Source organism: Homo sapiens, chromosome 13 (genome assembly GCF_000001405.40).
Source record: "Homo sapiens chromosome 13, GRCh38.p14 Primary Assembly".
Taxonomy (NCBI): Eukaryota; Metazoa; Chordata; class Mammalia; order Primates; family Hominidae; genus Homo; species Homo sapiens.
Genome location: NC_000013.11, coordinates 48095266 through 48110955, shown reverse-complemented (window position 1 = coordinate 48110955; position 15690 = coordinate 48095266). Strand labels below are relative to the sequence as shown.

Genomic DNA, 15690 nt, shown 5'->3' with positions numbered 1-15690 from the left:
CTTTTAATGGTTATATATATATATATAAATAAATATATATATACCCACACATACATATATATATATATATATATATATATATATATATATATATATATATATATATATATACATATATTCTGGCCAGGGTCAGAATCAGATAGCATGAGTTTGGATGTATTTGAAAGTAAATGGAAAGTAATGATACTGTAGTTACCAAGAAGGCTAAATGAGCTGGGAATTTGGTGGTTTTGAGTTGGATTCGATTCTTCATTTCCTGCCACTTCGATGTTAATCTCTGTGCCATTGTAGGGGAGATACAGTGACTCATTTGCACACAGGGTCATGTAGTACTTTCTGAATTGTGATAAACATTCAGAGACAGGGTACGACCATCAGAGGCAAATTTTGCCAATTAAACAATATTGTGTAAATCATAAAGTGTTTTTCTAAATTAAATCAAATCAGTAAGTATTTATCAAGCAGGTACTTATGTGAGAGGCTAACACACAAAAACAAACAGGATTTGAAATGCAAAGAAATGAAAAACAAGGTGGAAAATGGGAATTATAGTTGATCTTTTCTGAATTGTTTCCACAGACTCAGAGACAGGAAGTGAACTAACTTACTAACAGCCAGAAAGGAAAATTTTTTCTGGGAAATCTCTCTTTATAGAGCCAAAACAAATATTTTGATCTGGGAGAAAACAAAATTTTAAGTGAATGTAAAACTGACCTTCCCATTCAGATACTAGATAAGTCAAAGAACTTCAATTAAATACTGGTCACTTACTCTGTGGTAGGTACTGCTTATAGGAAGTTGAAAAGATATGGTGTCATTTATGAAGACATTTAAAAATATATTATTCTGTGCAAAACAGGTACTATTCTGTGCCAAAAAATTTCCTTTGTCCTCAAAACTTCTTTGTTGTTGTTATTTAGGAATGTTAGAAGGATAAGAAAGTTAAGAGTTATTGTTATCTGAAGTTTATGACTTTGGCAAAATCTATCAGAGACTCTTTGTCCATCAAATGAAGAAATGTGGACTGGGTGATGATATCATTAGGTGGTTTTGTTTTGGTTAATTGGCTGTGCCTCAGCACCATTGATTTTTTTTTACTGGTTGCTGAGAGTAGTCAGCCTCCACCTTGAGTCCTTGAATCCCAGAAGGTTCTTAAAAGTATCAATGCTATTGGGACTAACTGAAATATCAAATATCTTTGCTGTGAACTGGAATTATATCAACTTCACCACCAAGTGCTAGATGAGTAAAGTGGGAAAGGACATTTACTGTATATGTCATTTACTCACTTCTTTAGCTACCCTAAATTCTATCCTTAAATCAGATTAGGCCACCAGAAGACCGTATGCTTGAACCACATTAAATTAGCCTCTCACCAAATGACCTTTGCTGGCCGCAGAGGCTCTGAGAGGCAAGGTTTCCCCAAAAAGAAGGTGAGACAAATAAAATTCTGGATATGATGGAACTTTTGGAAGACAAATGAAAAATTATTGTAAGAGGTTACAAGAAGAAAAAGAAATAGAAACTACTGGAAGAACTAAAAGCTGTATAGGAAGGAAATTATCACCATAATACCCTACTTGGCTCTGCCCTGAGCAGCAATTACATAGTTACTATACTGAAAACATTGTTGAATATCTAAATAGAATTTAGTGGTAATGGATCTGAAAAACACAAAGATTTTTTCAAATAAATTTTTTATTTTAGAATAGTTTTACCAGCCTAGGCAACATGGTGAAACCCTGTCTCTACAAAAAATACAAAAAAATTAGCTGGGAATGGTGGCGCGTGACTGTAGTCCTAGCTACTTGGGGAGGCTGAGGTGGGAGGATCACTTGAGCCAGGGAGGTCGAGGCTACAGTGAGCTGAGAAAAAATTCTGCACTCCATCCTGGGAAAAAATTGTGAAGATAGTAAAGAGTTTCCATCTACCTCATACTAGTTTTCCCTATTATTAACTTCTTACAATAATTAAGTACATCTGTTACAATTAACAAACCAATACTGGGCCAGGCACGGTGTGGCTCACACCTGTAATCCCAGCACTTTGGGAGACCGAGGTGGGTGGATCACCTGAGGTCAGGAGTTCAAGACCAGACTGGCCAACATGGCGAAACCTTGTCTCTACTAAAAATACAAAAATTAGCTGGGTGTGATGGTGGGCATCTGTAATCCCAGATATTTGGGAGGCTGAGGCAGGAGAATTGCTTGAACCTGGGAGGTTGCAGTGAGTCAAGATCATGCCACTGCATTCCAGCCTGAGCAACAGAGTGAGACTGTCTCAAAAAAAAAAAAAAAAGAAAAGAAAAAGAAAAGAAACCAATACTGATACATTATTATTAACTAAAGTCAATACTTTTTTCCAGAGTTTTTTAGTTCTTACTTAATGTTGCTTTTCTGTTTCAGGATCTCATTCAGGACACCACATTACCATTAGTCACAGTGTCTCCTCTGGCTCCTCTTGGCTGTCAGTTTCTCAGAGCGTCCTTGTTTTTAATGGCCTTGAATATTTTGAAGAGTATGGGTCAGGTGTTTTGTAGAAAGCCCTTCACTTGGGATTTATCTGATGGAGTTAGAGTTTGGAGGAAAACCCCAAAGGTAAAGTGCCATTTCCATCACATCCTGTCAAGAGTGCTGGTGTTAGTCAGTCAGGGCTGCCATGGCAATATACCACAGACTGTGTGTTTTAAACAACAGAAATTTGTTATGAAGCCTGGAAATATAAAATCCGCAGGGTCGGTTTATTCTGAGGCCTCTCTCCTTGTCGTGCAGATGGCTGCCTTCTCATTGTGTTCTCACATGGCTCTTTCTCCATGCACCCACCTTCTTAGGGCTTCTCTCCCTGTGTCCTAATCTCCTCTTCAAAGAAACTACCATCAGAGTGAACAGGCAACCTACAAAATGGGAGAAAATTTTCGCAACCTACTCATCTGACAAAGGGCTAATATCCAGAATCTACAATGAACTCAAACAAATTTACAAGAAAAAAACAAACAACCCCATCAAAAAGTGGGCAAAGGACATGAACAGACACTTCTCAAAAGAAGACATTTATGCAGCCAAAAAACACATGAAAAAATGCTCATCATCATTGGCCATCAGAGAAATGCAAATCAAAACCACTATGAGATACCATCTCACACCAGTTAGAATGGCAGTCATTAAAAAGTCAGGAAACAACAGGTGCTGGAGAGGATGTGGAGAAATAGGAACACTTTTACACTGTTGGTGGGACTGTAAACTAGTTCAACCATTGTGGAAGTCAGTGTGGCGATTCCTCAGGGATCTAGAACTAGAAATACCATTTGACCCAGCAATCCCATTACTGGGTATATACCCAAATGACTATAAATCATGCTGCTATAAAGATTCATGCACACGTATGTTTATTGCGGCATTATTCACAATAGCAAAGACTTGGAACCAACCCAAATGTCCAACAATGATAGACTGGATTAAGAAAATGTGGCACATATACACCATGGAATACTATGCAGCCATAAAAAATGATGAGTTCATGTCTTTTGTAGGGACATGGATGAAATTGGAAATCATCATTCTCAGTAAACTATCGCAAGAACAAAAAACCAAACACCGCATATTCTCACTCATAGGTGGGAATTGAACGATGAGATCACATGGACACAGGAAGGGGAATATCACACTCTGGGGACTGTGGTGGGGTGGGGGGAGGGGGGAGGGATAGCATTGGGAGATATACCTAATGCTAGATGACGAGTTAGTGGGTGCAGCGCACCAGCATGGCACACGTATACATAGGTAACTAACCTGCACAATGTGCACATGTACCCTAAAACTTAAAGTATAAAAAAAAAAAAAAAAAAAAAAGAACACCAGACAGCTTGAATAGGGACCGTAACGGCCTCACTTTAACTTATTACCTACTGAAAGTCCCTGTCTCCAGATACAGTCCCATTCTTTGGTCCTGGGACTTAGGGCTTCAACATGTGAATTTGGGCAGGAGGGGGACACAATTCAGCCTGTAACAGGTACTATCAACTGACTTCTCGCCGTTGTCCTTGATCATGTGGCTGAAGTAGTGTTTGTCAGGCTCCTCCTCTGTAAGTTACTCCCTCACCCCCAATCTCTGATACAGTTTTTAATTTTATTTATTTATTTATTTATTTATTTATTTTGAGATGGAGTCTTGCTCTGTCACCCAGGCTGGAGTACAATGGTGCAATCTCGGCTCACTGCAACCTCCACCTCCCAGGTTCAAGCGGTTCCCTGCCTCAGCCTCTGAGTAGCTGGGATTACAGGCGCCCACCACCACACCCAGCTAAATTTTGTATTTTTAGTAGAGACGGGGTTTTGCCATGTTAGCCAGGCTGGCCTCGAACTCCTGACCTCAGGTGACCCACCTGCCTTGGCCACCCAAAGTGCTGTGATTACAGGCATGAGCCATTGCGCCCGGCCTCTGATATAGTTTAGATATTCATCCCCTCTAAATCTCTTGTGGAAACTTGATCCTCAGTGTTGGAGGCGGAGCCTCGGAGAAGGTGTTTGGATCATGTGGCAGATCCCTCATGAACTTCTTGGTGGCATCCTCCTGGTAATGAGTGAGTTCCAGGTCTATTAGGTACCTCAAGATGTGATTGTAAAAAATGGCCTGGCACCTCCTCCTCTCTCTCTTGCTTCCTCCTCCCTCACTGTGTGGCACACTTGCTCCCCTTTCTCCTTTTGCCATGATTGGAAGCTCCCTGAAGCCCTTACCAGAAGCAGATGCTTGGCTGAATGTAGTGGTTCATGCCTATAATCCCAGCACTTTGAGAGGTGAAGGCAGGGGGATCGAGACCAGCCTGGGCAATATAGCAAGACCCTATCTCTGCTATTTAAATATTTTTAAAACTTAAAAAAAAAAAGATGTTCTTGCCATGTTTTTTTGTACAGCCTGCAGAACTGTGAGCCAAATAAATGACTTCTCTTTTAATTACCCAGGTTCAAGGAATCCTTTATAGCAATGCAAATAAACTATAAAGGATTCCTTGAACCTGGGTAATTAAAAGCAAAGAGATACATGTATGTATACCAATCAGCATATAGAAACATATCCATAAATATTTCTATTTGTAACCCTGTGTACCTATGTTAAGCTATATAAGAGTTCATACTGATCTAATCCAGTACCACATGGATCATTCTAGCCTTCTCCCCTTCTCTGCAACTTTTTCCTCCCTTCTTTCAGGGGATGAAACATTCATAATACAGTTAGATTCTTTTTTCACATTCTGCACTCCATACTGGGATCATCAAACTTCCTAAATAATTGTTTTAATTTGCATACATTAAGGTTTATCCTTTGTGCTGTAAAGTTCTGTGGATTTTTATAAATGCATGGTTTCATGTATCTACCATTACAATATCATACAGAATAGTTTCTGTACCTTAAAGAAATCCTCTGTGCTTCGCCTACTCCAGTCTCCTCATCCTCTGATTTCTTCGTAACCACTGATCTGTTTACTATCTCTATAGATTTACCTTTTCCAGAATGTCATATAAATGGAATCACATAGCATGTAGCCTTTACAGATTGGCTTGTTTCACTTAGCAATACACATTTAAGATTCTTCCATGTCTTAGGGTGGCTTTGATAGCTCATTCCTTCTTGTTACTGTATAGTATTTCATTATATAGATGTACTAATGTTTGTTATGTAATTCCATTACTTATCCAACCCATTGAATGACATTCTGGTTACTTTCAGTTAGAATTTTTTAATATGTTGCAAACTTTCATGTATCCACAAAGTAATATGACTTCCAAAAAACTTACTGAATGCATTGGGATATGCTGAAGGAAGTATAATAGTTATGATGATAGCTGCTGGACATTGCGGTATGGTGGTGAAGAATACTGGCTCTGACTTTAGACTGCCTGGGTGCTGCCACCCCCCAGTATGTGGTCTTAGATGGATGACCTAACTTCTCTGTGCCTCAGTGTCCTTTTTTGTAAACAGGGATAGCAATTGTACCTATAGGGTATGAAACAACACCCAGTCCAGTAGACATTACCCACTTCTGTAATTTATTTTTATTTGTACATGCAATGCAGCAAGCACATTACTTACATCCCTTTATGCCTTCCAGCAAAAATAGGGAAAGCTTCATTTCCCCATTTTATAGACTGAGAACCTGAAATGCAGAGACTATAAATCATTAGAACCAGGACTTGAATTGAGGTTAGTCATTTTACGAAGGCTGTGATCATTCAACTTCATTACAGTGATTCCCCAGACCAAAAGAGAAGTTTCCTTTCATGCAGCCCTAGACATACTGGACCTGCAACATCATCTTTACTCTGGGTTGTCACATTTTATGAAGGACAAACTAGAATGTATGAAACAGATGATCAAGTTGATGAAAGGTCTGGAAACCCTTTTAAATGAGGTTTGACTGAAGGAACTAGGGATGATTACATGGGTGAAAAAATAAAATATTAGAGATGAAATAAACCAAAATGTTAACAACGTGTGTCTCTCAATGGTGGGCTAACAGGCGATATTTATTTTTTCATATATTTCTAGATTTTCTATGATGCATCATATATATGCACATATACATGCATCATAGTAAATCTAGACATATAAAAACAAAATCGGCCTGGTGCGGTGGCTCATGCCTTTAATCCCAGCACTTTGGGAGGCCAAGGTGGGTGGATCACCTGAGGTCAGGAGTTTGAGACTAACCTGGCCAACATGGTGAAACCCTGTCTCTACTAAAATACAAAAATTAGCCGGACATGGTGGCAAGCGCCTGTAATCCTAGCTACTTGAGAGGCTGAGGCACAAGAATAGCTTGAACCCGAGAGGTGGAAGTTGCAGTGAGCTGAGATTGTGCCATTGCACTCCAGCCTGTGCAACAGAGTGAGACTCCATCTCAAAATAAATAAATAAATAAATAAATAAATAAATAAAAATCATAATCATAATCATAATATATATTTTCTATGATGTATATATGAGCATATATATGCATCAGAAAATCTAGAAAATATAAAAAATGCATCATAGAAAATATAGAAAATTTTAAAAAGCAATAAAAATATGCATGTATATATGAAATTTTGTAAGAAAAAATCTTAATAAATTGTGGTTTAAAAAAATTAGGCTGTTGTGTGAAAGACAGATTAAATGTTTTGTTTATGACTTCAGAAGACAGAGTTTGTGCTCAATATGTGAAAATTATCTTGAAGCACATTTGGGCTTATTATACATAAAATTAGCTGATGTGAGGTAGCCACCTCCCCTCTACCAGAAAGGGTTTGATCACAGGCTGGGATCAGGCTAGATCAGATGACTTCTGAGATCTCTTTAGCTTTTATTCCATAACCTGGGCCTCTACTTAAGAACACAAAATGTTTTTAATTGTTTTAGCTCACGATGTACAAATTGATGCTGTTAATATAAATACATTTAGTTTATTCATCTCTCCAAGCACCCAAGAACACTTAGAGATTTGTTTTATGTATTAGGATAAAATGAACCTGTATTTTCTTAGAATAATCTGAGAATTTTTACTCATTCAAACTAGACTTTTTTTCATCTTGTATTGGTTTCCTAGGGCTGCTATAATAAATTACCACAACCTGCGTGGCTAGAAACAACAGAAAATTTTCCTCTCATGGTTGCAGAGGCGAGAAGTCCCAAAATCAAGGTGTCAACAGAGCTGTGCTCCCTCAGAGGCTCTAGGGAAGAGTGCTTCCTTGCTTCTCCCAGCTTCGGGAGGCTGCAGGCATTCCTTGGCTTGTGGCTGCCTAACTCCAGTCTCTGCCTCTGTCTTCACATGACCTTCTCCTCTTCCTTCTGTGTCTCTCCTCTGTGTATCTCTTATAATGACACCTCGATATTGGATTTAGGGTCAACTTGGATAATCCAGGATCATCTCATCTTGAGATCCTTAATTACAACTCCAAAAACCTTTCCAAATAAAATCACATTTACAAGTTCTGGGAGGTGGACATATATTTTGGGAAGGCCACCATTCAATCCACAATTAAGAAGTTTGTGAGGCATTTTGACAACTTGCTTTCTGATACTGATTCTTTGTTCTAGTCCTTCTTCCTCTAGACCTGCCAATCTTCCTGCCCACCTCTGATACTTATTCCAGCCACCTTCTATCTTAAGAATCTCTGCTTTCACCCCATCCAGGAGGCCTTTCCTGACCAATGTTGTCTTGCTCACCTCTATAGGCCTAGCATTTAGTGTGGCATATACACAGAACTTAATAAATATTTGTTGAAAGAATCAACGAATCTACCAAAGGAGGTCAAAGATGATGCCCACCCTTCTTCTGAGTTACTGAGAAGTCGTAAATTTTTAATGATGCCTGGAGAATTTCAGGGAGAGGATGACATTTCTCGTATTTGAGAGTCTGATAAATTCCAGGAGATTTTTCCATCGATATCACACTGCAAATATTTAAGGGAAATGAGGCCAGGTGCAGTGGCTCACGCCTGTAATCCCAGCACTTTGGGAGGCCAAGGCGGGAGGATCACCTGAGGTCAGGAGTTTAAGACCAGCCTGGTCAACATGGCGAAACTCTGTCTCTACTAAGAATACAAAAATTAGCTGGGTGTGGTGGCACACGCCTGAAATTCCAGCTACTCGGGAGGCTGAGGCAGGAGAATCGCTTGAATGCCGGAGGCAGAGGTTGCAGTGAGCCGAGATTGTGCCACTGCACTCCAGCCTGGGTGACAGAGTGACACTCAGTCTCAAAATAAGTACATAAATAAAAATAAATAAATAAAGGGAATGAGAGGCTTAACCTAAACTGTTTTTTATTCTCAAGGCACAAGAATGTAGGGAGTTAAAGTCAAATGCCACAGTTACTAGAGGGCTAATGACTTTAATTAACTGAGTAATTTTGAAGAGTGGGAGTTTTTTGTTGTATTGCTTTTGAAAGTGCAGGCTGAGGTTCTTTTGAGGAAAGCCTCAAAATGTAACTAGGATGGGGGCGTGAAGGAGTAAGGGGTGAATCTTCTCTTGAGGTGGAGCAGCCCTAGTTGGTTCTAAGTGAGATAACTTGGCTAATTAAAAGCAGTTAAAATGGCACATTTTGAGGCTTTGTAATTTATTTAAAAATTAGATTTGCTTCCCTATATGCCAGCAACTTGCTGGGAATTCATCCCTTTCTCCCAGTAGCTTTTTGAGAGGTGATTTATGTCTTCAGAAACCATAAATGGTGGTTCTTGATATTGGAGCTTGATACTGAATTGAGTGTTATTTTTACTTGGGATTAAAGGCTCTGAGGTTCATGTCTTGAGGTAGAGTTTCAACTCTTTTTGTTTCTTGGAGAAGAGTTAGTGAATGCAGTTGTTCTGTTTTCCTTCTCTCACTACCTGCCTGCCAGGAAAGAAATACCTGACTCTGACTTTCCATCTGAACCTTGACCTTGAATATGTTTTTTTGTTTTTTGTTTTTTGTTTTCCTCAGTGAATCAAGTGAGGCAAGATCCTAAATTGAGAAAGAGGAAGGGAAAGGAGATGTTGAGGGGTGGAGAGAGGCAATGGTGTGAAATTGTATGAAGGACAGTGGAGAGGGGTCAGAATAGGGATGCATAGTCTCATTACCCAGAAGCACTAAGGACCCACTGAAGATTTGGGGGTTAAAGTCATGAATTTCAGTTACAACAAACTGACTGGCTTTTGTGTTTTTCTCCATCCATATTCAGCTGCATTGGTATAGGCATGTAGTAGGCACAGCTGCATGTAGCTCAGTGCGTGGCCTTGCCAAGGGAATGAAACAAATCAAGATGGGGGCAAGAAAGTCAAAGGTATGTGCAAGGCAATGATTAGACATCTCCAGATGCCCATTGACCTGCAACCCCTCTTTATTAGTCTGCTAGGGCTATCATAACAAAATGCCACAGACTGAGTGGTTTAAGCAACAAGAATTTATTTTCTCACAATTCTGGAAGCCAAAAGTCCAAGATATAGGTGTCAACAGGACTGGTTTCTTCCAAGGCCTCTCTCCTTGGCTAGCCCGTGTCTGCCTTCTTGCCATATTCTCACATGGTCTTTTCTCTGTGCACACTCATCCCTGGCATCTTTTCCTCTTCTTAAAAGGACACCAGTCAGATTGAATTAGGGTCTACCCTAATGGCCTCATTTTAACTTGATCACCTCTTTGAAGACCCCATCTCCAAAGCATTCACACTTTTTCAGTACAAAGTAAAAAATACATTTTACATTTGACCCAGTGCACACATACCTAGATATTTAAGTGAAAAAAGTTTCCACAAGATGCACAATGCACTTTGATATTTTAGATATTTTCTTTTCTATTAAAAAAAATCTCCACAGGGATATGTTAGGCATGTCAAACAAATAATAATTACATAGTTATGTGTAGATATAGTGTAGTAATGTAAACACTAACTATTGACTTAACAAAGAATTGTGTTTTGTTTTTTTTTTGAGACTGAGTTTCACTCTTGTTGCCCAGACTGGAGTGCAATGACATGATCTTGATTCACTGCAACCTCTACCTCCTGGGTTCCAGCGATTCTCCTGCCTCAGCCTCCTAAGTAGCTGGGATTACAGGCATGTGCCACCATGCCCAGCCAATTTTTTGTACTTTTTTAGTAGAGATGGGGTTTCACCATGTTGGTCAGGCTGGTCTCAAATGCCTTGGCTTCTCAAAGTACTGGGATTATAAGCATAAGCCACCATGCCTGGCCAGAACTGTGTTCTAACTAATGGGAAGATAAATGACACATGTAAGAGAGATAAAATCCTCATTTATCATAATAGGAAATAAATTTCAAAAGCAGTTGAATAGAGATATAGAATATATGCATATTATTTTAAAATATGTGAGCAAAGAATAGAAGTAATGGTTAAAAATGCTGAGAGTGCCCACCTTTAGTGAGAAGGATATGCTAGGAAGTGGGGCTCAGGAGGTGGTAATTTAGAACTTTTTTATTTTCATTAGAAGCTTCTGAGTACCATTTGACTTTAGACTATGTATATATGTTGTTTGATGAAAATAAAAAATAGGCCGGGTGAAGTGGCTCACATAGCAAGGCTCTGCCTTAAAAAAATAAAATAGGCCAAGCATAGTGGCTCCTGCCTATAATCCCAGCATTTTGAGAGGCCAAGGCGGGCAGATCACCTGAGGTCAGGAGTTCGAGACCAGCCTGGCCAACATGGCGAAACCCCATCTCTACTAAAAATACAAAAATTAGCCAGGCATGGTGGCACATGCCTGTAATCCCAGCTACTTGGGAGGCTGAGGCAGGAGAATTGCTTGAACCTGGGAGGTGGAGGTTGTAGTGAGCTGAGATCGTGCCACTGCACTCCAGCCTAGGTGACAGAGCAAGACTCTGTCTCAAAAATATAATAATAAAATTAAAAAAATTTTTTTAAAGATACATAGTGTATTCAGCTATCTATTCCGCCTACCCTTAGGGACAGCCTTGGTTGAGTTTCTCGCTGCACCTCCAAACCTCCACACCAACTGCTTGCAGCTGCTTTTTGCTCAGAATTTCAAGCTGTGCATTTATTTGATAGTGTTTGTATGAGGGGTTCTTCAAAAAGTTCATGAAAAGTGTGTATTATAGAAAAACTATAGATGCATTTCAAAATATTTTTCCACCAAAATAAAGTCATACTAACTTGTTATAACATGTATGAACAGGATCTAGTTTGAGGCACAAGAAGGATAAGACATCAGTTTGACAAGAGCCCCTATCAGAACAATATGAATTCTACTAAAATTGAAGCAAGAATATCAAATTGATGGTGAAGCTTGTGTGGAAGAATGGTGAAATCTTGATGCTTTATGAAAAGTTTATGAGGACAATGCCCTAAAGAAATCAGCAGTTTTACAAATAGAAAACTCATTTGAAGAAGGGATGAGATGATGTTGAAGATAAAGCCTGCAGCAGCAGACCATCCACATCAATTTGCAAGGAAAATATTTATCTTGTTTGTGCCCTAATTGCAGAGGACAAGCAATTAATAGACAACACTATAGACATCTCAATTTGTTCAGCCTATACAATTCTGACTCAAAAACTAAAGTTGAGCAAACTTTCCAATCAATGGATGCCAAAACTGTTATGCCCAAATCACCTGCAGACAAGAGCAGGGCATTCAATGGAAATTTTAAACAAGTGAGATCAAGATCCTGAGGCACTTCTTTGAAGAGCTGTAACAGGAGATGAAAAATGGCTTTACCAGCACAATCCTGATGATAAAGCAAAATCGAAGCAATGGCTATCAAGAGGTGGAAGTGGTCCAGTCAAAGCAAAAGCAGACCAGTCAAGATCAAACAGCATGGCAACAGTTTTTGGGATGCTCAAGGCATTTTGTCTGGTGACTTTCTGGAAAGCCAAAGAATGATAACAATGGCTTATTATGAGAGTGTTTTGAGAAAGTTAGCAAAAGCTTTAGCAGAAAAACACCCGAGAAAGCTTCACCGGAGAGTCCTTCTCCACCACAACAATACTCCTGCTCATTCCTCTCATCAAACAAGGACAATTTTGGAAATGTTTCAATGGGAAATCATTGAACATCCACCTTACAGTCCTGATCTGACTTCTTTTTGTTTCCTAATCTTAAAAAAATCTGGGCCAGGCTCAGTGTCTCATGCCTGTAGTCCCAGCACTTTGGGAGGCCGAGGGGGGTGGATCACTTGAGGTCAGGAGTTTGAGACCAGCCTGGCCATCATGGCAAAACCCCATCTCTACTAAAAATACAAAAATTAGCTAGGCATGGTGGCACATGCCTGTAATCCCAGCTACTCGGGAGGCTGAGACAGGAGAATCACTTGAACCCGGGAGGTGGAGGTTGCAGTGAGCCAAGATTGTGCCACTGCACTCCAGCTTGAGCAAGACAACAGAGCAAGACTCTGTCTCAAAACTAAATAAATAAATAAAATCTGTAAAGGGCACTCATTTTTCTTCAGTTAATAATGTATTGGGAGGATTGCTTGAGCCTGGGAGGTCAAGGTTGCAGTGAGCTGTGGTTGCACCACTGCCCTCCAGCCTGAGTGACAGAGAGTGAGACCCTGTGGCAAAAAAAAAAAGAAAAGAAAAAAGTAAAAAAGACAGCATTGACACGGTTAAATTCCAAGGGCCCTCATTTATTTAGGGATGAACTAAATGGCTGGTATCGTCATTTACAAAAGTGTCTTGAACTAGATGGAGCTTATGTTGAGAAATAAAGTTTATATTTTAAATTATTATCTTTTAATTCCATTTTTCCATGAACTTTTTGAAGTCCTCTCATATTTTAGGTCAGAGGTTCCCAGTCCTTTTAGTACCTGAATATCCTTCTTTCTTTACAGAGAGCTGGGATAACCAGTGGTAAAGAGCACAGACCCTGGAGCCAGACTCTGGGTTCAGATTCCAGCTTTGCCATTTACTATATGACCCCGGCATGTGTCTTAACATTTCTGCCCCTCAGTTTCATTATCTGTAACATAGGGATAGTAACAGTACTTACCTCATAGGAGTGTTAGGAAAATTAAACAAGTTAATATTTTTGAAGTGCTTAGAACACTGCCCACCATGTCAATAAAATTTCATGAGAAAGTAGTGTCCTTTTTGAATCTACAGATTGAGAAAATATGTACCTAACTCCAAATTACCATGAATTCAGTAATACTATATAAAATAATTCATATTTGTTTATCACGCCTGGATTTGTACAATTTGCAAGACAGTATATCTGTGAAAGATGCTATTACTTATCAGTCTATAGAAACTGTTTAATATGCATATGAATTTGCAATAAATCTGAGGAGGTCAGGAGTTCACAATACACATACATGCTCCACACACTGATCCTCAGTGTCTGCAAAGTAGGACTATAATTGGTCATTTTTAACTAATTAGAATCCTTCTAGAATTTTTATGTTTACACTAATATAATGTTCTCTCTCCTCCTACCAGAGTCATGGCTCAATATGACCCGTGAGAGTTGAGTAAACAAAACCAACACATACCGCAGAAGTTTGGCACCCTGGAAACTTAACATAAGAAATGATTGACTAGAGTACTGAGAGGCATGTTTAGAATGCAAGTGTAATGAACAAAGCTTCAATCTACTTTAGCCCATTGCCTGAGAATTGACTGCATTAACAAAAAAGGGTTAGCCAACAGCAGATGCAGGGAACGGTCAGAAAACAAAAGGTGACAAGGATCTCTTGCACTGTCTAGAGGAAAAGGTACCCTGACCTATGAACACAAATAATCCAATCTCTTGAACACAAATATCCCTACACTGTGGAGACACAAAGCCTCATGATTGTGTCATTAATTTTTAATCTATCCTTGTTTGTTCTGATCCAAGTTTAACAAGCAACATCCTGTGATAATATGGCTTCTCATATAGTTTTGTCTATGGGAAAAAGATATGTTTGGCACTATTACTTTTCATCGTAAGTGAGTAAATCAGCATTCTAGATTACGCAGCAGTTGCTATGAGTGAATTTATTTAACATGAATTTCTAAAAGACTTGTCAACTCTGGGTGCCCAGGAGTCAGGTTTAGCACCTCCAAAAAGACAGAGTAGAGGATGAGACCCTGAAATGAAAGGACTACAGGTACTACTACCTCATGGGAGTGAGGCAGTCCCAGACCATCTTTTATAATAGCAATATGGAATCCTCATTCCCAATAGGCTTGTAACTTTGCTTTTTTCTGGTAGAGAGTGATCCCTACTACATTGTTATCCCTAGGAAAAGTAGGCTAAGACGTATTTTTGCCTTTGACAACCAGTTCTGGTTTGGAATGTGTGGTACATCAATGACTTAAACTATGTTAATTAACTACTACTTATGTACTGTATTGGTTCCTTCAGTTCAATAATTAACCTGAGTAATGAGCAAAACATTTTGTTGGAAGATGTATGGCTATAAAGATGGATTATAGCAATGTGGAAGTAACCTAACTGTCCATCGTCAGATGAATGGATGAACAAAAGGTGCCATATGCATACAATGGAATATTAGTCTTAAAAAGGAAAGATATTCCAGCACATGCTACATCATGGATGAACCTGGAGGACATAATGCTGAGTGACATAAGCCAGACACAAAAAGACAAATACTGTATGATTCTGCTTATATGAGGTACCTAGAGTAGCCAAACTTACAGCAATGGAAAGTAGAATGGTGGTTGCCAGGGCCTGGAGAAGGGAGGGATAAGGAGTTAGCATTTAGTGAGTACAGAGTTTGTTTTACAAGATAAAAGGTTTTGGAGATGGATAGTTGCTCAACAGTATGAATGTATTTAATGCCACTGAACTATCCACTTAAAAATGGTTAAGGTGGGCCGGGTGCGGTGGCTCACGCCTGTAATTCCACCACTTTGGGAGGCTGAGGCAGGCGGATCACGAGGTCAGGAGATTGAGACCATCCTGGCTAACAAGGTGAAACCCCGTCTCTACTAAAAATACAAAAAATTAGCCGGGCGTGGTGGCGGTCGCCTGTAGTCCCAGCTACTCGGGAGGCTGAGGCAGGAAAAATGGCGTGAACCCAGGAGGCGGAACTTGCAGTGAGCCAAGACATCCGCGGCGATGCACTCCAGTCTGGGCAACAGAGCGAGACTCGTCTCAAAAAAAAAAAAAGAAAGAAAGAAAGAAAAAAAACCATTAGGCCCAGGAGAATCAGACTGCGTTGCCCCCACTGTTCTCAGTTCAGCTGTCGCTCCCAGGGTTTGGACCA

The 15690-nt window shown here is 39.6% G+C and overlaps 1 long non-coding RNA gene across 5 annotated transcripts in view; it reads left to right on the top strand.

Moving 5' to 3' along the window:
• Positions 1-2911, top strand: part of LOC105370198 (uncharacterized) — a 114265-nt gene extending 111354 nt beyond the window's left edge. For all 5 annotated transcript variants that reach the window (XR_007063792.1, XR_007063791.1, XR_007063789.1 and 2 more), the window contains one exon: positions 2406-2911. This is a non-coding gene — a long non-coding RNA (uncharacterized LOC105370198). The remainder of the gene's footprint in view (positions 1-2405) is intronic.
• The last annotated feature ends 12779 nt before the right edge of the window (positions 2912-15690 follow it).